Source organism: Homo sapiens, chromosome 4, assembly GCF_000001405.40.
Source record: "Homo sapiens chromosome 4, GRCh38.p14 Primary Assembly".
NCBI lineage: Eukaryota > Metazoa > Chordata > Mammalia > Primates > Hominidae > Homo > Homo sapiens.
Genome location: NC_000004.12, coordinates 16,302,993 through 16,325,404, shown reverse-complemented (window position 1 = coordinate 16,325,404; position 22,412 = coordinate 16,302,993). Strand labels below are relative to the sequence as shown.

At 42.8% G+C, this 22,412-nt stretch overlaps 1 long non-coding RNA gene and 1 pseudogene across 3 annotated transcripts in view; both read right to left on the bottom strand.

Moving 5' to 3' along the window:
• LOC124900674 (uncharacterized) overlaps positions 1 to 22,412 on the bottom strand; it is a 71,217-nt gene that overhangs the window by 32,884 nt on the left and 15,921 nt on the right. For 2 of the 3 annotated variants that reach the window (XR_007058065.1, XR_007058064.1), the window contains 2 exons: positions 5,259 to 5,340; positions 2,369 to 2,542 (listed from right to left, as the gene is read on the bottom strand). This is a non-coding gene — a long non-coding RNA (uncharacterized LOC124900674). Of the gene's footprint in view, positions 1 to 2,368; positions 2,543 to 5,258; positions 5,341 to 8,922; positions 8,976 to 22,412 lie in introns of all 3 variants that reach the window. The other variant, XR_007058066.1, reaches the window with a different exon arrangement.
• Positions 17,342 to 17,948, bottom strand: LOC100421364 (fibroblast growth factor binding protein 1 pseudogene; annotated as a pseudogene).

Below are 22,412 nucleotides of genomic sequence, written 5' to 3'. Positions count from 1 at the left end.
CTTATCTAATTGCACTTGGATCCCCAAAGTCTTCTGGTCCATGTGCATAAGATCTGAGGATATCCAACCTTGACCTCTGATGTCCTGCATTCCTTGGACACACACAACTACTAAGACACTCCAGAAACCTTTCGGTCTTCCAGTTATGTTTCTTTCATTCAGTACTTAACCCTGGGCAACTTCATGTGCTAAGCACTTGCTGGAAAAATGTGTCCATGAAGCAAACACAGGCTGCCTTCAGAGTGATCATGTCTAGTCAGAGAGAGAGAGAGATCCTGAGAGCGAGACAAAGAAGAGAAGGCCAAACTGGAGTAATGTGCCCTTGTAGAAAAGAACCTACTATAGCTTGGATTTCTTGGAAAACCTCGCTAAAGAGATGATGTTTAAGCTGATACCTGCAGAGTCCATTCATTCATTCTTTCAAAGTACATTTGATGAGCATCTATCACAGACCAATAAAAAGAATCATTCAAACCTATGTGAGAACTTTCAAGTGTTTGGCACTATTCTAAGTGCTTGATGTATGTTAACTCATTTAATCTACCCAAACGTAGAAAGTAATTTCTATTACTTTTCCTATTTTACAAAGAATAAGAAGGGGGTACAGAGATTTGATGTATCTCTTTCAAAACATGCAGAAAGTTTTAGGCTAAGATTCTGCCCAGGCTATTGGGTGCAGCATTGGTGCTCTTGAACACCATGTTAGGAGGGGAGGGGGATATGGAGGTAAATGTGTCAGATGGGTTCCTGCCCCCTTGGAGCTGATTTTCTAGTGATGAGAATGAGATGAACTTAGTGATTTGGCAAAAGGGGCAGAAAGACACTGAAACTATGCATTGCAATATATATGAAATGGGCTTCAGAGGGGGAAGGTTATATGTCTTGAAGTAGCACAGAATACACAATCTTCCAGCACTCATTATCCCCTAGACAAAGCTGGGCTGTGCCTGATACAGGATCTGTTCCAGGAGAGAGGATAGCAGACCCACTGTACCAGCTGCCAGCTAAACCTCTAAAAGGGGGAAGGAATGGGATTTAAAAATGGTTTAGATTTGTCTCTTTTCACCAATCCAGCACAGACCAGATGAAGGGGGAAGGCCAAGTGCTTTGGACAAAGTAACCACATCTGTTGGGAATATGATAAGGGACAGGTCATTGGAGGTCAAGGTTAGACACCTGGGTTGTATGCACATGAACCATAAGGCTTGAGGGACATAAGTGAGCCTTGGGGGCCCTGTTACCCACAGAATAATAGAAGATGCGTGGCCAGGGGAAAACCCTGAACAAAGGCCAGTGTATAGAGTGTGGTGGATGAACTGTAGAATGGTAAGAAAAGGGTCTGGAGCAGAAGGCATGGGCCACATAATGCAGGGCTGGCTAAGCCATTTTGGGAGGGTTGGTTTTTCAAGCCACTGAAAATCTGATCCATTTTAAGAACACCTTCTGGCTCCTATTAAGAGACTGAGTATGAAAAGGGCAATAGGGGAGAAGCAGAGAGACTAATTAGAATGTAAAAGATATCAAAGGCTTGGACTAGTGGCTTCAGAGTAGAGGAGGAATGGATTCAGATTAGAGACATATTTAGGAGGTGGAATTGAGAGCACTTGTTGATAGACTGGATAAGGGAGTTGAGAGGAAAGCATTGAAGGACAGCTCCTAGGAATTGTGGAGCTATTTGCTGAGCAGGTTATGACAAGCTGAGTGGTAGAGAGGAGGTGGTGAAGGTAGACTGGGGCTTCAATTTATACTGATCTACTGCACAACTAGGATGGAGAAATAGGAATTGTGGAGCTATTTGCTGAGCAGGTCATGACAAGCTGAGTGGTAGAGAGGAGGTGGTGAAGGTAGACTGGGGCTTCAATTTATACTGATCTACTGCACAACTAGGATGGAGAAATAGGAATTGTGGAGCTATTTGCTGAGCAGGTCATGACAAGCTGAGTGGTAGAGAGGAGGTGGTGAAGGTAGACTGGGGCTTCAATTTATACTGATCTACTGCACAACTAGGATCAGAAGCACAGGTATCTTTCCATAGATTGCCACAATGCCAGTGGAGCCAGCTCAGCCCCACACTTACCTAGTGCAGACTGAGCCCAGCGAAGCTCAAGTCTCTGAACTCTTACAGGCTGGAAACCGGAGAACTTTAAATGAATAATATAGCCCAGGCTCCTCTGGGTCACAGAGCAATCACCCCTCCTAAAATATGACTGTTTTCCTCACCATTTTAATGCCATTTCAAGGATACCTTACATTTCCGTTCAGATCTGCCGTTTTATCCAGCTGGATTTCTTTTCAATTCAACCCAATTTTAACCCCAATGCTCAAGTTATTTTTTCCCATTATGCCCACGAATAGAAGCAAATCATACCATCTTGCATAAATGCAGCTGTTTTCTCTCCTCTTTTCTCATTTTAGATGAAAATCTTCTTTCTTCTTTTTTTATTAACAACAGCACCCCCTCCTTGCTCCCTGCTGAGGGCCTCACCATTGGCTGTGTTTGTTCCTCATCTCCTGTGCTCTTTCCTGTTTCTTCAGGGAGTCCCTGCAGAGATGTTTTCTTATGTAATCAAATTATAGGTCAAATTCATCAAAAGAATAGCACACAGGTACATTCCTTACGAACATTAATGAATGCAGTAAGTAACACATTCTTTTTTTAAGTGGAGGAATTGGTAAATAAAGATGCTCTTTGGTAAAGAAAAATGAAGCAAGGAACATAGCTTTAAAATATGCCAAATTTCCTTGTTAAACTGTAAAGTTGTGCAAATGTTTATTGCCATCACCACCATTGTTATAACCATGTGTAATATATATCATAGGAAATATTTTTAAATATTTTATAGTTGATTTCAATAAATATCATTTGGGCACCTAGTACAAGATACACACTGTGCTGAGCATAGGCATGCAGAGACTGCAGAAGGTAGTTCCTTCATGACAAAGGGAAAAAGCAGACATACAGAGCACATAAACAGATAATTTTGATGTAAAAAATAGAAATGCTATAATAATGACAGCAGCAGAGACATGCCTGCAATAATACCTGCAGTGGTAGGCAACTCCAGCCAAGGCAGACATTGTCAATCATGCTTTAGATACACAACCCCATTTAATCCACATGGTAATCATGCAAAACAAGATTATGATCCTTATTCCATAGAAAAGAAAACGGAGCTACAGCAAGGTTAAGTAGCTGTCTGAAAGACACCAAGATACAGAGAAGCAGAGCAAATGAGAGGGAAAAATCTCTCCCTGACACCAAAATCTTGATTTTTTTCCCCACTTCTCCCAAGGATGTTGATATGGTTTTGCTGTGTCCCTACCCAAATCTCATCTTGAATTGTAGCTCCCATAACTCTCACATGTTGTGGGAGGGACCCAGTGGGAGATAACTGAATCATGAGGGCAGTTTCCCCCATACTGTTCTCGTAGTAGTGAATAAGTCTCATGAGAGCTGATGGTTTTGTAAGGGGTTTTCCCTTTTGCTTGGCTCTCATTCTCTCTTGCCTGCCACCATGTAAGATGTGACTTTGCTCCTCATTCACCTTCTGCCATGATTGAGGCCTCCCAAGCCACGTGGAACTGTAAGTCAATGAAGCCTCTTTCCTTTATGAATTACCCAGTCTCGGGCATGTCTTTATTAGCAGCATCAGAAAAGACTAATAGAGATGTATATAGTATGGTTTAGAAGGAGAGAAGGGGGCACTGAAATCAGCCTAGGGTAGAGGTAGGAATGAATAGGTCTTTGAGGAACGCTGAGGGAGCTATGTCTTAAATGTTGAGCCATGAGTCAAGAAGGAAGGGGAGGTGGAGATGGGGCATCCTAGGCAGGAGAAAAGCAGGGAGGCATGGAATAGCATAAGACTTTCTGGCCAGACTCAAGTAGTATGGGATAGCTGGAGGACTAAGTTCAGAGAAATAAAGCTGGGGAGAGACAAGGCCAGGACCGGATTACAAAAGGCCTTATGTGTCACACTAAGGAAACTGGACTTGATTCTGAGAACAATAGAGCAGTAGGTGGATGTTGCTTTAGAAATGACATTGTCAGCCAAATGGAGGGTAGATTAGATGAGGCAGTGCTAGAAACCCGGCTGTTGTTATCACCCGAGCATCCATGAGAAGGATTAGAGTTGTGAGGCTAACTCAGTTTGTGCAAAGCTGTCCCTGGCTACTTCAGCTGTATTCCCAATGGCTCAAAGCAATGGCTCTGCCATGGCGAGGCTGGTGTCATTCACCTGATATCCTTGGGAGACACCCAAGCATTGTCACCCATCTTGCTCCCTTGGCTTGGAATTCAGCCTTACCTGACGCATCTCTTGCCACTCCATTCCAGTTCACCTGAAATTCTGGACACATCGCACTTCTTACTGAGCATCAAATGTCACGTCAGCCTCTTTCAAGCCTTTGCACATTTTTTTGACCTGGAGTGTCCCTTCCGTTCCTCTTTGTCTGAAGAATCCCCCTCCAGATAAAGACTTACCTCTTCGTTTACCAAGCCCTACAAAGAGTCACTCTTTCCTCTAGGCCCTTGTGGGGGCCTTGTACTTTTGTTTGTAATGTCACATTTTACACGGTAACAGAATCATTCCTCATCTGTCTCTTTCCTTACTTATGCAGTAAGTTCCTACTTCCATAGATATTTCATGCATATACAACTGTGATGGTTAATTTTATGTGTCAACTTGACTTGTCTAAGAAGTGCCCAGATAGCTGGGCAAAACATTATTTCTGGGTGTGTCTCTGAGGGTGTTTCCAGAAGACATTAGCATTTGAATCAGTAGGTTGAGTAAAGATGATCACCCTCACCAATGTGAGTGGCCATTATCCCTGTTGAGGTCTCAAATAGAGCAAAAAGGCAAATGTAGAGCAAATTTACTCTCTTCTTACACTGGGAAATACAAATGTTCTTGCCCTTGGACATTACTTTTCCTGATTCTCTGGTATTTGGACTCAGACTGGGACTTAGACCATTGGCTCTCCTGGTTCTCAAGCCTTCAGGCTTGGACTGGAACTACACCACTATTGTTCCCGGGGCCTCCAGTTTGCAGACAAGCAGATCATGGGACTTCTCAGACTCCATAAACATGTGAGCCAATCTCTCGTAACAAATCCATTTCTATATTAATCTATCTACACCTATCAGTTCTGTTTCTCTGGAGAATCTTGACCAACACAACAAGCAAATACCTATCTATCTACACACAATACACACATACAAGTTTTTATTATTTTTCTTTGCACAATGATGGCATACTTACACTTCCTGAACTTTGCTTTTTTAGGACTTGAGACTACACCTTAGCAATTTTCCCATAAATATACATGAAGAACTTCTTTATTCTGTAGATGAAAAAAAAATTTAACAGTCACCTTCTGTTTAACATTTTGGTTGTTTCCAGTCTTCTGCAATTACAAACAATTACATATCATGCAAAAATTAACCTTGCTTGTACAAACATTATTTCTCATGCATGGGAGCATATCTGCTGGATAAATTTCTAGAAGTAGGAGTATGAGGTCAAAGAATACATACATTAGCAAACTTGATAGCTACCTTCAAATTGTTCTCTGTAGAATTGTGCAAATTTCCATTGTTGCCAGAAATGTATAAAAATACCTGGTTTCCTGTGACCCCAATAACATCCAAATTTTGGATTTTTGCTAGTATGGTTTCTGACGGTATGATTTGCAATAATGACATTCTTGCATAGCTTTAATTTGTGTTTCTCTTTTTAAGAATAAGTTGAGCATCTTTTTGTATGTTTTATACTTCTGTTTATAATTTTTTTCTGTCTGTTTACATCCTTTAGCCATTTGTCTTCTGACCATGGGTCTTTCTCTTAACCATTTCTAGTGAGCCATTTGTCTAGGATTCAAGAAACATTGAGCAAGTGTTTCTCCCGATTTGTTGTGTGCTTCTGAGGTTGCTCAGTGTTTTTCTTTGCACTTTTTCTCTGTAGAAATGGCACAAAGTTGGGTGAGTGATTGCCAAAGCTGAAGAAGTTTGGGTCATCACTGATTAAAGCTCATAATCTTGCTAGAAAATGACTGTAATTTCTAATAATAATACATACCATGTAGCAGAAATAAAAGGTACCCAATGATGTGTTCATTTTCTTTTTCCTCAAAAATAAAAATTTGCTTTAAGAAAGGATTTGTGGCTGAGCACGGTGGCTCATGCCTATAATCCCAGCACTTTGGGAGGCCGAGGTGGGCAGATCATGACCTCAGGAGATCGAGACCATCCTGGCTAAAATGGTGAAACCCCGTATCTACTAAAAATGCAAAAAAATTAGCCAGGCGTAGGTGGTGCACACCTGTAGTCCCAGCTACTCGGGAGGCTGAGGCAGGAGAATGATGTAAAACCCGGAAAGCAGAGCTTGCAGTGAGCTGAGATGGCGCCACTGCACTCCAGCCTGGGCGACAGAGCGAGACTCTGTCTCAAAAAAAAAAAAAAGGAAAGGATTTGCTATAAAATTTGAACTGTAGAAGATTTCTTTGAGGTTGGCACATGCTTCCCTCTCCTTCTAAACCAGTACATTTGGATTTTTTTTTTAGGCTTAGCAAAAGATGCTAAATTCTTACCTCAGACAAGCCTTGCTTCTAATTTTTGCCAAACTATTTCGACCACGTGACCTTAGAAGGCTGCCACTAAAAGATTCCATTTTAGGAGCCAATTTTTAAGAGGTGAATGAACCCCTTACATAGTTGATTTGAAAAATGAGAAGTAGACACCGAAAACTTTGTGATATCATCTAAGAATGGTAGATGGTTTAGATAAATCCAACACTTGCAGCAACCCCTGGATAAGGATCATACTTAATCATTTTAAAACCTGTTCATGAAGAGCATTCCTGGATGCTTTTAAGTTGAAGGAGGTTATGACAAGAAATATTCCACAGCATGTTGCATGGTAAATAAGTATGCAAGAAATGTTTGCTGATTGACTGATCTGCTTTGCTATGTATATGTAGTTTCTATGAACACAAAACTGTCTCAAAGAAAGCGATAAAAACCGCTGCTCCCAGTCATCAAGTTATTAGCATGAGATGTGTACATGGGTAATCTCAGCTTCTTTTTCCCCCTCAAACACTGATGTGCTGGACACTGAATCACTTAAAATGATAATTTGGCATAAGGAACCATATCAAACTCTTCCAATGACTTCTCCATCAGAAACAGTCACTGGGTCCCCCTGCCGAGTACTCACTGCAGCTAGAAGGCAGCGGGATATGCTGCCCACACTTCACACCCTGGTTTCTGAATTCCAGGGCTTCCCACATGGCCTACAGCAGGAGGTCTCATGCCAGATTGGCAAGAAACAAAAGCCATCATCCTCTCCCTACCTCTCACATCTCTAAAGTTGGTACAATTAAGAAATTAAACTCTATCATAGCAAAGTATGAAATTAATTTTGAAAAAAGTACAAGTTATTCATTTATCTTAACATGTATGATGAACCAGGCACTCTTCAAGCTTATGAGCTCCCAGTGAGCAAGAAACACAAGATCCCAGCCCTCTTGTGGGACATGAAAAATAAATACATGACAACACAGAAACAGGGCATTTGCAGGTCAGGATGACTTAGACAGAGTGGTTCAGGAAGGCCTGTTAAGGAGGTAACTTTTGATACATGAACTTTAAAGAATAAAAATGAAGCATATATTGGAAAAACTAGGAAAATAATAATCTAGGAGCAAAGACCAATAAGGGCAAATCCTATAATAAAATGGATTCAAAGAATCAAAGAATGGAAGAGGGAGTTTCAAATTTATATTAAAAAAATATTATCATCATCGAGCCATCTTAACTCTTCTGTTATACAGATATAAAAACAGCGATTCAGAAAAGGTAGTAATTTTATCAAGGCTACCTTGCTTGGGCAACATGATTAAAGGTGACCTTCCTGAACACCAGTTAGCCAGCTATTCTGACACCATCTTTTATATTCCCCTACAAGACAAATGTTAAACTTCCATAGGTATTAGAAATCTATGACATGACTTTAGCAAGGAAGTAGAAAACAATGATTTAGCTCTGGGGTTGGAGGGAGTAGAGAAAAGCACTCAAACGCATATTAAACCCTTCCCTTCAGAGAAGTACTCAGTCAGTCAAGATTCTCAAGCACCATAAAAACAATTCTAAATGATACTTCATTTTTAAAAAGTGTCTTTCAAAAATCCCAAAAGACTGATGGAAAAAAGATTAACAGCTATCATTTGATGGCTGTGAAATGGTTGCTTCAATCTTGGGAAAAACAGGTTGGATTTCGAGGGAGATGTTATGAATAACATGGTGCTTGGAAAAAAATATATACATATAAATGTATAAAGTATATTCTGTATTCATAGCATATTCATATATAAATTTATAAAAGTATATATGAATATAATATTTATATATTTTGATATATTCATATATTAACACATGTATAAATATATATATGTATGAATGAATATATGTTTATATATAAATGAAAACTATGTGAAAGACTGCTATTATATACATCAAATTCTGCATGGGCCTGCTGGTGCAGTCCAGTAACAGCAAACACCTGCTCTTAACTGGTAGCTGACCGTGGGCCAACTGAGAAGACAGTGGCAGGAACTTGCTGTTGCCTGTGGGTTGGTTTTCCATTCACACATACTCAAGACTGAACTTGTTCATAGGTCAGTGCCCTTCACCTGTGCATTCTCTTCTTTGCTATACTCTCTGATCTTCCTCTTTCTCCTCTGCCCCCCGCAGATTTATTCCCCAGGGCCCCAACTTCATACTGCCTGAGTCCAGTATGGTCAAGGCAAAGATCCACCCCTCCAGAGAAAGCAATAATGACTCCTACTAGAATCTTCCAGGGCCTTTGGAGAAGAGCAACTTCAAGACAAATTTTAAGAGTGCTAATACTGTGTCCATTTTAGTAAATACCTTGGATGCATTGTTACTCTAAAAACCATTCTCTGTTCCGTGGAGGATGAGACCTGGAAAGAAGAAAGGGATGATGATGAGGAACTGAGAACCCTAGCCTGCCTCCTATGCTTGTCTGACCCTCTGAGGCGGCCATGGGAAGCTTTTCCCTAAAGCCTTTGGCACTTCAGTTCTGTCAATTGCTGCCCCTTTGGTGTCTTTTCAGAATTTGTGTCACCACACTCTGCTGGTGTGTCTGCCAGAAGCCTGACCATGCTTAGGATTCGGCCTAAGGATTCAGTGAATCTAACAGCTCACACCTGGATGGAGAAGGGAGGAGAAGATTGGGACATTAGTACCAGAATCCAAGAGGGTTAGTCTTACGCAAGTCTCAGAAATTGGCACTCCCTCGATATGAAGCCAACCTCTTTCTCCCAGGCCCAATCAACAGAAAAAGGATGCAAGTGGCAGAAAAGTAAATTATTGAGACTCTGTCTTTTAAACCACATCATCAATTTGAAAATAAAGCTTTTTATTTTTAGGATGCCAGCAGAATTGTTATGGCTCTGCCCCTGCGGTCTCAATAGTGGCCTTGGGCTCTAAAACCTTGACCTTGGAAAGAAAACATTTACATTGTAAATGCACTGGCAGTATGAGCACTGTTCTATGGTGAAGTACCCAACAGAGGCTAAAAATTCAGAAGCGGCTTTTCCCTTTCTTCTGAAAGGCCTAATCCGCGGGGCTTTCACAGTGACAAAATCAAACTCTTAGCAGTAATTGTGCATTGGTTCTAGCCGTGAACTTGCATAAAATCTGAAATTTCACGCCACCTATCCTGTTGCAGGGAGTTTACCACTGATCATCAGGAAATGGAGCTTCTGGAGAGGCTTGAAGGAAATTAGACTGTGCAGGCCCTTGGGCAAGCATACTTGTGAACAAAATGCCTTTACAGTCATCCCTTCTTCCAAAACACAGGCAGCTTCACGCTTTGTTGAGCTGGTACTTGAGTCCTGCAGAGGCACACAGGTTCTGATGCGATGGCTTCGAGAAAACAGACCGTGTCTACTTTAGATATCTAAAGTCAGCCTACTACACCCAGACATTCTCTTATCCATCTCCAGTTAGGCTGGAAAAAGGAAGACTCAGAGTGGCTTGATGGCTAATTCCATGTGCTCTGATGGAGTGTCAGGAAGAAGGACAAGGTCCATTATGACCAGTGGGCAAAATGATAGCCAGTGGGTGGAAGCAATGGGAGGAAGCTTCTAGCCCATCCAGCAGGGGTTCTTTCTCCTCATTAGGATGGTCTGAAGCTGGAATGAGCCAGCTCTCAAGCTCACAATTGGCTTATCACTGAAGATGTCCAGAGGGGGGCCTCCACTGACAACCCTTGACACTAATTCTTTGCATGGTCTTGGCCCAGCATCACAGAGTGACGCAGACTGGCCTCACAGGAGCAGCTCTGGAAAATGGAGAGACATCAAGGGGTCAAGATGAGATCATTCACCTTTCTGGGGTCTCTGACTCCTTAGGAAGTTCTCCTTAAGGGTCAGGACTGCTCCAAGTGTTTTATAGTTATTAACTCATTAAAGCTGCACACCAATCCTAAGATCAAAGGTGGGTGCTCTCATCTTTTCCTACTTTACAGATGAGGAAACCAGGGCTCAGGGGTTACCTAACCCCTCCCAGATCGCAGAGCAAGCAAGTGGCAGAGGAGAAGTCCCTGGCTAAACACCACAGTCCACTCTCATAGCCTCTATACTGCTCTGTCTCAGAATGCTCTCTGCAGGCCCCCTGATGTCCTGTAGTGTGACCATCACTATCTGCTTTGTCTTCCTTCCTTACCAGTAGCTGTTCCGCTGATGGACTGGGTCTCTTCTGACATCGATTTTGCAAAGGCAATATCCCCTACACAGACTGTGAAAAACCCCAAGGTTATCCTCTTTGGTTAGTGATAGACCTTGAATTCATTTTATTTTTCAGACACAGTTCTAGATACACAGCCAGCATCTGCCACCAATGGCACTCAAAGCTGATGGAATGAATGATTTCACATCAGCAGTCACACAAATTATCACCACTGAATTGCATGGATGTTATCAAATCAGAAAGAAATGAGGCCAAAGCAAATATCACACATATGTAGTGCTTTTGCTTCTTAAATTTAAGTTTTATAAGTAATTTTGGCTCTGTGTTAAAAACAAAAAAATAATAATATAATAGCTAACACTTATATCATGTTATGTGCCAGACCCTATCCTAAGCTCTTTTCTCTTATTAACTAATTTAGTCCTCACAAATACGCTGAGATGTTAGGCAGCATTACAATCCCCATTTTAAAGAGGAGGGAACCAAAATACAAAGAACTGAAGTTTAGGTTTCAGTACCTGAGCTAGTAACCAGACTAGTGTGCCAAGTGCCAGAGGAAGGTGGCCTAAACCAAAGTAATTTGGAAGAGGTTCAGAGAAAAGGATTAATTCAAGAGACATCACACTAAATAAGTAAATTGCAATAAAGCTGGAAATGGGAGGCAAAGAAAGAGACACCATCGAAGACAGCTGCCAAGCTTCCAACGAACATGTCTTCTTGTCAAAACTGCAAAGATTCCACCTCTATGTCTTTGTTCAGGCTCTTCCCTTTGTTTGCAACGCCTTTCCATGCCCTTCCATGATTGTTCTGCAAAGCCTCTTATTAACTGCTCCTCACCTCCTGCCTCTGCATCCCTATATCTCATTGTTAGTTGGCATACAGTTCCTGGCCCTCACCCATCTTCCTCCATGTTTTAAGCTCCTCAAAGGTAAAGACATAGCACAGTGATGAGTGGGGAGCCCCAAACTCTAGCTATTTAACATCAGTTTTGTGATTCTGTCTTGCTATACAGTCATGCCTGCATTACTTTTCACTTAATTTTTAAAATAACTTGGATGACCCAATAGGTGCAGTAAACCACCATGGCACAGATTTACCTATGTAACAAACCTGCACTTCCTGCACATGTACCCCAGAACTTAAAATAAAAATAACTTGCCTATAGGATTGCAAAGGGTATACAATAAGAAATAGAAATATAAAATAGAATAAAATAATAACTTGCTTATTTTAGGAGAGTTTTAGATTCATGGAAAATTTGTGAAGATAGTACAGAGAGTTCCCACATAGCCTCTACAAGTTTTCCATATTATTAACATCTTATGTTGGGATGGTATATTTGCCACAATTTATGAACAAATATTGATACATTTTTATTATCACCTAAACTCTGTAAGTTTATTCAGATTTTCTTAATTTTTATTTTAACAAATGTCCTCTTTTTTGTTCCAGAATCCCATCCCGAATATGGCATTTGGTCATCCTGTCTCATTAGGTTTCTCTTGGCTGTGACAGCTTTTCAGACTTTTCTTGTTTTTGATTACCTTTGTATATTTTGGATAAAGTTCTTTATTAGGACTTATGTAGAGTTGCTCACTTTCAGGTTCACTTCTCTTTCTTTTCAGCTATTTGCTATTGCTGTTGGGTGGCTGTGCTGGGTTGAACAGTGTCCCCCCCAGAATTCATGTCTACCTTGAACTTGTTAATGTGAATTTGGAAATAGGGACTTTATGGATACAGCAAAGTTAAAATTAGCTCATAATGAATGAGAATGGGCTCCAATCTGATGACTGGTGTTTTTCTAAGAAGAGGAAGGTTTGAGGCTGGGTGAGGCGGCTCACACCTGTAATCCCAACAGTTTGGGATGCAGAGGCAGGTGGATCACCTGAAGTCAGGAGTTCGACACCAGCCTGGCCAACATGGTGAAACCCCTTCTCTACTAAAAATACAAAAATTAGCCAAGCATGGTGGCACGCGCCTGTAATCCCAGATATACTCAATAGGGTGAGGCAGGAGAATCGCTTGAACCAGGGAGGCAGAGGTTGCAGTGAGACGAGATTGTGGCACTGCACTCCAGACTAGGGGACAGATCAAGACTCTGTCTCAAAAAAAAAAAAAAAAAAAGATGGAGGTTTGCACAAAGACTAGCAAAAGATAACTCCATGTAATGTCAGAAGCTGGGATTGGAGAGATACGTCTGTAAGCCAAGGAAGGCCAAAAATTGCTAGAGCCACCAGAAGCTAGGTGAGAGGTCATCTTTGCTTGTTCAGCCAATAACAACTTAGAAGGGAAGGTGGGGAAGGAGGTAGATAGATGGATGGCCAGGGGAGATGTGCTGGATTCCAGCAATTCAAATTGGCATTGGTCTGGTTTGGGTTGCTATACAGAGCTGGTGCTGCGATGATTTTACAGAGAAGAGACATTCCTACTGTTTACAGCTTTGGGTCATACAGACAAGCCAACTTTTAGTATCTCTCACCTAGAAAAACCTTCCCATCTTATTGCTTTCAAGTCAAATCATTCCTTAAGAAACACACACACATGAGCTCGCTCCTCTACTTGATATCCAGAAAGTCCTCATGGAGAACATATACAGTAATAAGTTGGGTAGAAGCTGGTGGAAAGTCTGTAGAGACTTTTTTACTGTGTTTTTTAAATGTCCCCTCCAGGTTGAGCATAAATGAAAGTATTAGCTTCTAGAATTTTCTCTTCATAAGGACTTGGTTGGGGTTGCACACAGGGACTGACAGATCCTGTTCACTGTCAGGTTTGGCCCATGTCTGAAGGCCATAAATGTCACTCTTCTCTTATCAAGTAAAGAAAATCATGAGCTTCAGGGGAAGAAAGGGTTTGGGGACCTGCAGACCAGAAGTTCTCTTTACAGGCTCTGTCGCTTAATGGCTTTGCAACCTTGGCAAGTTCCTCAGCTTCATCATATAGAAAGTAAGGATGAGAACTCCTACCAGATGGGGTTGTGGAGGGATTAAATAAGAGAATAGGAGCAAAGCCATTGACACATCATAGGTAAACAATAATAATGTTTCCTGTCCACTGGCCATCCTAGAGGATAAAACAAAATTCCCACTTTTAAAAAATTTTCACTAAGAAAATTCTTGACCTCCCTCAGAAATCCAGTCTTGTGCTATACTTTTAATGATCATTTGTGTTAAACTCCTACTATGTAAATGGTGTTACTACAGGTGCTTTAGAAATATTGGCAAACATCAGTGTTCCAGCAACTCTTAAGGTGAGATTTATTATCCCCATGTGGAGAGGATCTGATTGGTGGTCATGGGGTTAATAATTTGCCCAGAAACAGGGTAGCTATCAGCAGAGGCAAACCTCTATCCCAGGTCCAGGCGACACTACCATGTTGGAAAGCAAAACTCCCCACAGTTCTGCCAGTGTCCAAAAGCCATGAGTGAGCTACAAGAAGTCACAACCTCATGGAATGGAAAGGATCTTACAGTGGCTTTGAGTTGGGTGGGTTCTGCAATGTTATTGTCAGCTGTCTTTGTCTATTCCTGTTGCTGTAATAAAATATAGGAGACTTGGTAATTTCTAAAGAAGAGAAATTTATTTCTCACAGTTTTGGAGGCTAGGAAGTTAAAGATCATGACACCAGCAGGTTAGCTGTATGACAAGGGCCCAGTATCTGCTTCCAAGATGGGACCTTGCTGTGTCCTTTGGAAAGGTCAAACACCGTGTCCTCGAGTGGCAAAAAGGGCCTAGCTAGTTCCCTCCTCCAGCCCTTTTATAAGGTACTAATCTCATCTGCCTTCATGGCCTAATCACCACCTGTACGTCCCAACTCTTAATGCTGTTGCATTGGGGTTAAGTTTTAACATGAAATTTCTAGGAAACACAAACATTGAAACCACAGCACCAACCACATTAGACCAGGGTTATTATGTAATAATCTGTAGAAGAGTTTACCAGTCTTTTCCAATCTCAGTTGAGTGGTATAAGTCAGGTAGGGGACCTGTGAGAATCTGTGTAGACCTCAAGGGAATATTCCCTCATTTGTTGTGGCTAAAAGGAGCTTGGGGAGGGTCTGGAATGTCTGTTCAACTCCCTTGGTGTCGTGGTAGGGTTCACAGTCAGGCCTGGCCCCATCCTACAATAATACACATTCTTTGATGTTTCCTGAACAGGCAGAGTGGATCCTAGTCACTGGAATATAAGATGTGAAGACAAGCATTTTGTTGTTGTTGTTGTTTACTGCTAGTTCTTGTCCCCAGAACACTGCCCAGCATATAGTTAGAGTTCATAATAAGCAATAAATAAATTAATTAACATCAGGGAATTTTCTCTGACCATTTCCTCTATTTGGAACATCTTTAGCCCAGGGTTAAATGGCTAAATTCCTCCATTTGGGTCTAGACTCAAAAGTCACCTCCACAGGGATGCCTCACCTGACCACCCCACCTAAAAATAGTTACCTTCTACCGCTTTTATTCTCTTCCTTTGCTATGCTTTTCCTCTTAACTCATGTGTAATCATGAGTTCATCATCAATTTCCCCACTGCCAATTTCCATGAGGGCAGAGCACCCATCTCTTGTACATCCATTGCTATATCTCTGGCACCTAGAACACAGCCTGGCTTGAGTCAGTGCTCTGTAAGTTATATATTGAGTAAGTGAGTGAATAAATGAATGCAGGCATCATGCATAGGAAAAGCTTAGCACAGTGCCCGGCACATAGCAGATGAGAGATAAGTGTTCGTTTTGATGATGTTGATAATGACATCCAAATGTCACTCTGAGGCAGTGGCACTGTGGATTGGCCTCTGACATTCTCAGTGTATATCTCAGTAGGTTGGGGAGTATAAAGGACCATCCTTCCACCCTACCTTCCATTCCTCCCTGCCACCATCAGACATGCTAGAGAACAGTGCTTTCACCAACTTCTGCTCCTCACTTTTCCCTGTCTGTGAAATTATGATTAGGCATTGGGGACTGTTCATCCTCTTCCCCAACTCTCGAAGTGAAACACTTTCAGATCCTTCATAGTAGTAAATGACTAACAGCAGTCTCGTCTCATCCCATCCCAGCCACCTGACCTCTCTCAGAATCTGGAATTTCCCATCTTTCTTTCATGTTGTCAAACACCTAAAGTACCTCTACTTTGCGCCATTTTATTCCTAAAGATAATCTCTCCAAAATCCAGAGCCAATATTACCTTCCCTGTGAAGCTCAAGCCCAGATATTGCAGCAGTTTCTGCCTCCTCTCTCCAGTTTTCCATGGAACTCTCTGCCCCTTCCATTACAGCCCTCATCACAGGGCACTCTATGCAACCAGATCTTTCTTCTCCAGAAATGAGCTCTGCAAGGACACGGGTCCTGTAGATGATGGTGAGAATGGGCAGCTCTGACCTGAGTCAGTACAGGAGGTTCCTCAATCCTGTGAACTCTGCTGTCAGAACTCCTGGGTTCTAATCCTGCCTCCCCTCTTACCACCGATAAGACCCCAACAGGCGATTTAATCATACCATGTACCGAGTATCCTGCCTGAAAACAGGGATCCTAATTATTACACTTCAATAAGCATCAAGCACCACAGACCAATGGATAAAACTATAAAGGGGGATTCTGAAATGGGTTGCATTAGGAAATAGGTAGAAAACTGGAAGTTGTTCCTTAGTTTTTCCACTGATGTATAGGGACTACATTATGAGTTCACTTGGTACTAGACACAAAGAAATCAAACAGTGGTTGAAAACATGTCTGAAAATCATTCAGAGCTGTATTATCTTTGCTAATTCAGCAGTAAGTTCATCACTCTGCCTCATTCAGCTCAAGGACAGGTCTTCTCTGCTCATATGCACATTGCCGTGTGGGCCATGGAAGTATATAATGAGGTAGATAGCCTCTGAAAATCATATCCAAGGAAGTGAATATAAAGCAAAACACAAAGAACAAAAATTATGAAATCTGTTAAATATTCCACTATACTCTCATACCACAAAAGTTCATAGCTTATGGGAAACTTTACAGCATACAGAGGGGCTTATGACATGACCTGCCCTGTTCTCTTAACCTAATTACCATTACATGTCTGTAATACCATGAGGAAGATATTGCAGAAGGAGCTCCAGGACTTTCCACATTACTACTGATCTACTGGCTGGTCCATTTGCTGATCTGTCTGCTGGGTTGTCTTTAACAGAGTTTTGCTGCCTTGTGTATTTGCATAACTTGGTTTAGCAGTGGTCAAGATTTGTGTCTGTGTTGAGCTGGTGAGGGTGCTTTCTAAGTCCTGGTTTGGCTTTGTGAACTCTCTCATCTCTATCCGATATTTCAGAATGGTCTCTGGGACCTCCATTAGCTCTGTAGGGATGGTCTTTTCCACTTCCACCTGCTCTGTGGTAGTGATCTTTTCTGTCTTGATTGTCTCAGTGGGAGTGGACTCTTCAGTTTGCTCTATGGTGGTGGTATCTTGGTGGTGATTGGCTCTGTGGGGGTGGTGTTTGAGATCTTGATTGGCACTGTAGGGATGGTCTTTTTGGTCTTGATTGGCCCTGTGGGGGTGATCTCTTCTATCCTCAATGACTCTGTGGAGAATAACTCTTGGATCTGGGTCTTCTGCTTGGGGAAGCATGGTTTGACCTTGGTTGGGTCCCTACAAGTGGACTCTTCGACCTTATCCCACACCGTGGGCATGAGTTCCATGTCATTGTGGCTGGGTCTCTTATTTGTGATCAGAGTGGAATTCACCAGCTTGACATTGGATTCTGGATACTTCTGACAACATGCCCTGGTCACCAGGTTGGCCTTGGAGTTCTCATAGGCATGTTTCTTGTGGCACAGGTTCTAGCTAATTTATTTCCAGTAGACCACATTGTTGTCCAAAAACCGTAGGCACAGTCTGGATTGCCCACAGAGACACAGGAAAACTCACTGTTCATTCAAACACCCTCAACTTTGAGAGTGATGCCCTCTGCCTACTCAGTCACAGCCCATCTACAGTTGGCTTGGTCTTTAGTGACAAGGCTGCTGTGATTGGGAACTTGTATGGCAGGGTTTTTGTCACAATCTGGAGCTCTAGGGCTTTCCCAGGGGGACCCATTGATCCCCGGGCATTACTCTATTGTCTGCTTTACTCCATTTTTCCCCTCCACCAGGAGCACCTGAGAAGCCAGTAGGAGAAAGGAGAACAGGGTGAGGCTATGGGTATTCATGGCTACATCTGGGTGGCACCTGTTTGACAAAAGGCAGGTGAGTCAGTGGCAGGCAGCAGTTCCGCTGTGCAGGATTGCACCTTGGCCTTCCTCCACCCTGACAGGTGCCTGCCTAAATTAGGAATAGACCAAGAACGCTTCTGCCTTCTGGAATCACTAGACAAGCAGCCTGTCTACTCACATTTCCACTTGGCTTGAGTCCTGAGTGTCACAAAACTACCATTCTTTGGAGCCTCATGAACCCTTATTTCTCATCTACTCACTCAAGAACTCCTGCATTTACTCACTCCTCACTCTCATTCACTCATTCAACAAGCATTTATTAAGTGCCTACTATTAGTACTTGCCATGCACTAGACTAGGTATTCAAGATACTACTGTGAATGAGAAAGCCTCAGGTTTTAAAGACCTTAGAGGCTACTCATTGGGAAATTTAAATACCATTAACAAGGGAGTCTGTCCCATCTCTGTCTCAACTTGATCTTAGACAAGTGACTCTCCCCTGGGTCTCAGTTTCTTTTTTTCTTTTTTTTGAGACAGAGTCTTGCTCCGTCACCCAAGCTGGAGTGCAATGGCATGTTCTCAGCTCACTGCAACCTCCACCTCCCAGGTTCAAGCAATTATCCTGCATCAGCCTCCCGAGTAGCTGGGATTACAGGCACCCACCAACACACCTGGCTAATTTTTTTGTATTTTTAGTAAAGACATGGTTTCACCATATTGGCCAGGCTGGTCTCGAACTCCTGAATTCAGGTGACCCACCCACCTTGGCCTCCCAAAGTGCTGGGATTACAGGCTTGAGCCACAGTGCCTGGCCCTCAGTTTCTTTATCATCTGGAAATCACAGTGTTGGATGAAATGATAACCAAGCTCTCTTCCAGCTCCAATGTGCTAAATTTCTATCTCACAATCTCACATGGATACAGATGACCACAAAATGAGAAAAGGCATGGTAAAGCTCATGAAAGTGTCAAAAAAGATGATGTTGACATTGACAGAGGGTTGAACATGCATGGGCTTTGACACACTGAAGTGGGTGGGGTTGTGGGGGTAGGAGGAGCATTTGGGGAAGAGGTAAGAGCCTCAGGAAAGGCATGAAGGAAGGAAGGTCATCTGATTTGACTGGGTAAAGTGAACCCAGGGCATAAAGAAGACCCATAATCAGGCCAAGTGCAGTGGCTCATGCCTGTAATCCCAGTACTTTGGGAGGCCGACACAGGTGGATCACTTGAGGTCAGGAGTTTGAGACCACCCTGGCCAACTTGGTGAAATCCCGTCTCTACTAAAAATACAAAAATTAGCCCAGCGTGGTGGTGGGCACCTGTAGTCCCAGCTACTCAGGAGACTGAGGCATGAGAATTGCTTGAACCCAGGAGGCAGAGGTTGCAGTGAGCTAAAATCGTGCCACTGCACCCCAGCCTGGGCGACAGAGGGAGACTGGGTCTCAAGAAAATAAAAAAAGAAGAAGAAGAAGACCCATAATCAATGTTTTTTGAAAGAAATCATTGACTCAATGATTGATGACTCAATGATGACTGGGCCAAACTACTTAGCCTCTCTAATCTTCCATCTACTCATCCTCCCTGTCCTGACAAAAGCAGCACTTCATGTATGGTTGCATACTCAATACTCACAGTGCTGAGTTATTAACATAAAGTGAAGCAAAAGAAATTTGGTTCATAATGGGGTCTGAAACTTAGTTCTTCACAAAAAGACATATTTATGTATTCATCATATAGTAAGAGACTCACATCCATTAAAAAAAAAAGATGTGGACTTCAGTATACCTTGTCACCTCACTTTTCATAGATTTGGGCATACAAAAAATTGTTCACTTCTTTCTTAACTCAAGAATAAGAAAAGCAGTAGTACAACTTTGATGATGAATGGTAAATGACCTTTGGCTTTGGGGCAGGCATCATGGTAGGGACTGCAGCAAACTAGAGCTTCTGCCTCTCTAAAGGTCAACAGTCAGCTCCAATTGACTAAGACGGTGTGTGTGGATAGGGCTCAGTATTGTCAGACTTTTTGATTGTTTTAAGAGATGCTTCAAAATAAAGGTGTGTTTATATGAAATTGGTTGACATGTAATCCAAATTTCCGAAAAGCAGTGTCTTGATCTAACGATGTACAGGTTAAAACTTGTAACTGTATTTGGATTTCATGTATAGTCCACCTGTTTGAGAATTCTGTGGTCACAGCTACAGATGTTGACTGATTTACTCAGCTGCTCAGTCTCTGCATAAATCCACCGGAAGCAGCCATTTCTGAAGGTGTGTACCTCTCCTAAAATTGGCTCACCCAGGGGTCCATCTTCACTGTCCTCGCAAACACTCCACTGAGGCCCTGACCTCTGCAAACAGGTGCTCTGTTGCAGTATTTTTTTTTGGAGGATTATTTGGACATAAGGAGATAAAGCTGTTTTGCTCAACAAGGGAGACATAAATCGGTGGGTCTCCTACAAAATGTGAAATTCTACTTGATCCTCGGGAGGCAGGCAGATTCTTTCTGGAGGAAGATTGCAATGGGAACACAAAGCATATTTATAAGGAAACACACAGACTACAGGGTCTTTCTGGGAAGTGCTTCTCTGAGATTTGCCAGGTGACACCACACACTCCCCACTGGCTCTCTGGGACCCTTCCCCTTCTGTGACTCCCATCCTAGCATCTGCCTTGGTCTTTTCCTTCTAGAATGGGTGGCACAGTATCAAAGCCTGCAGTGGCGCAGTTGCCTGCTTGGCCTATCCTGTCATCCATCCCCAGGTACACACAGAGGGACACACATATACACAGACAGACACACACACACACAAAGATACATGCAGACATACAAAGACACATACACAGATACACACAGACATTGACAGAGACATACACCGACAGACACACACACACACACACACACACACACACACACACTGCAATCTGGCCACACTGAAACCCTGTCCCACCATTTGCAGACGCTCTGTGCCCACACCCACTTCCTGCCTTTGCCTCTGCTGTCCCCTGCACTTGGGATCCCCTTCCCTTCCCTCTCTGCCTGGCACACACCGCCTCATCCTTCAAGGCCAGGCTCCAATGCGAGCCCCTCTCTGTTGGTGCCATTGGCTCGTGATGCTCACCATACCACCCCACACCTTCATGGATGTCCACGGGGAGAAATGCATGCTTCCTCCAAAGAGCTTATGGCGTGCTGGGCAATGTGCAAAGGCTGTTTCCCCAAGTTTTCTTCACATCTAGATGAGCTTAGGAAATGTTCTTTTCCAGTGCCCTTGGGGAGACTGCAGAGGACATGAAGCCATACAGTGCATAGAAGTTTCCTGCAGCTACAGGCCTCTCCACCTCCCCATGCTCCCAGGACTGAGGGGATATGTAACTCCTAGAGATGAATGTGTGAAGGCCCATTGGCTTTTATTCCACAAGAACCCTAACCTAGGGGCAAAGTCTGCCCAGGTTCTCATAGGATAGATGGGAACTGCGGCTTACAGGGGCCGAATCCTTTGGCAAATGCTGCAGAGCTCAGAAAGCAGAGCCTGGACTTGCCTGGGTCTATGGGCAATGAACCTCCCAGCAGAGTGTTTGGGGCATTGTCATATGGTTCTTAAATCTGAGCCTCTCCCTCCCATAGATTTTGGGGAAAAGACAATCCCTCCGTCTTAGATACCTCCATCTTCCATTCTCCATAGCACTTCCTGGTATATACTAGATGTCTTAGTCTAATTATTTCAGTAATAGATTGAGAATCTCAACTTTAACGAGCTTAAAAGAAAAGAAAAACGTGCTGGCTCACTGTATATAAGAAGTGAAGATGGTTCAGATAGACATGGATCCAAATGTTTACATAATCTCTGTCTGGTCTCTGTCTCTCTGTGTGTGTGTGTGTGTCTGTAGCTCTGTCTCTCTCCCTGTCTCTCTCTGTAGTTCTCTCTGTCTCTGTGTAGCTGTGTGTGTATGTGTCTGTAGCTCTGTCTCTCTGTGTGTGTGTGTGTGTGTGTGTGTGTGTGGGTAGCTCTTTCTCCACATCTGTGTGTGTGTGTCTCTGTGTGTGTGTGTGTCTCTGTGTGTGTGTGTAGCTCTCTCTCTCTCTCTCTCTGTGTGTGTAGTTCTGTGTGTGTGTGTCTGTAGCTCTGTCTCTGTGTGCGTGTGTGTGTGTGTCTCGGTAGCTCTATCTTTCTCCACATCTGTGTGTGTGTGTGTCTGTAGCTCTGTGTGTGTGTGTCAGTAGTTGTATCTTTCTCCACATCTGTGTGTGTGTCTCTCTCTTTGTGTATGTGTGTAGCTCTGTGTGTGTGTGTGTCTCTGTGTGTGTGTGTGTAGCTCTGTGTGTGTGTGTGTGTGTGTGTGTGTGTGTAGCTCTCTGTGTATGTGTGTGTGTGTCTGTAGCTCTGGCTCTGGGTGTGTGTGTGTGTGTGTGTGTGTGTGTGTGTGTGTCTGTAGCTCTGTCTCTCTCCACATCTCTCTG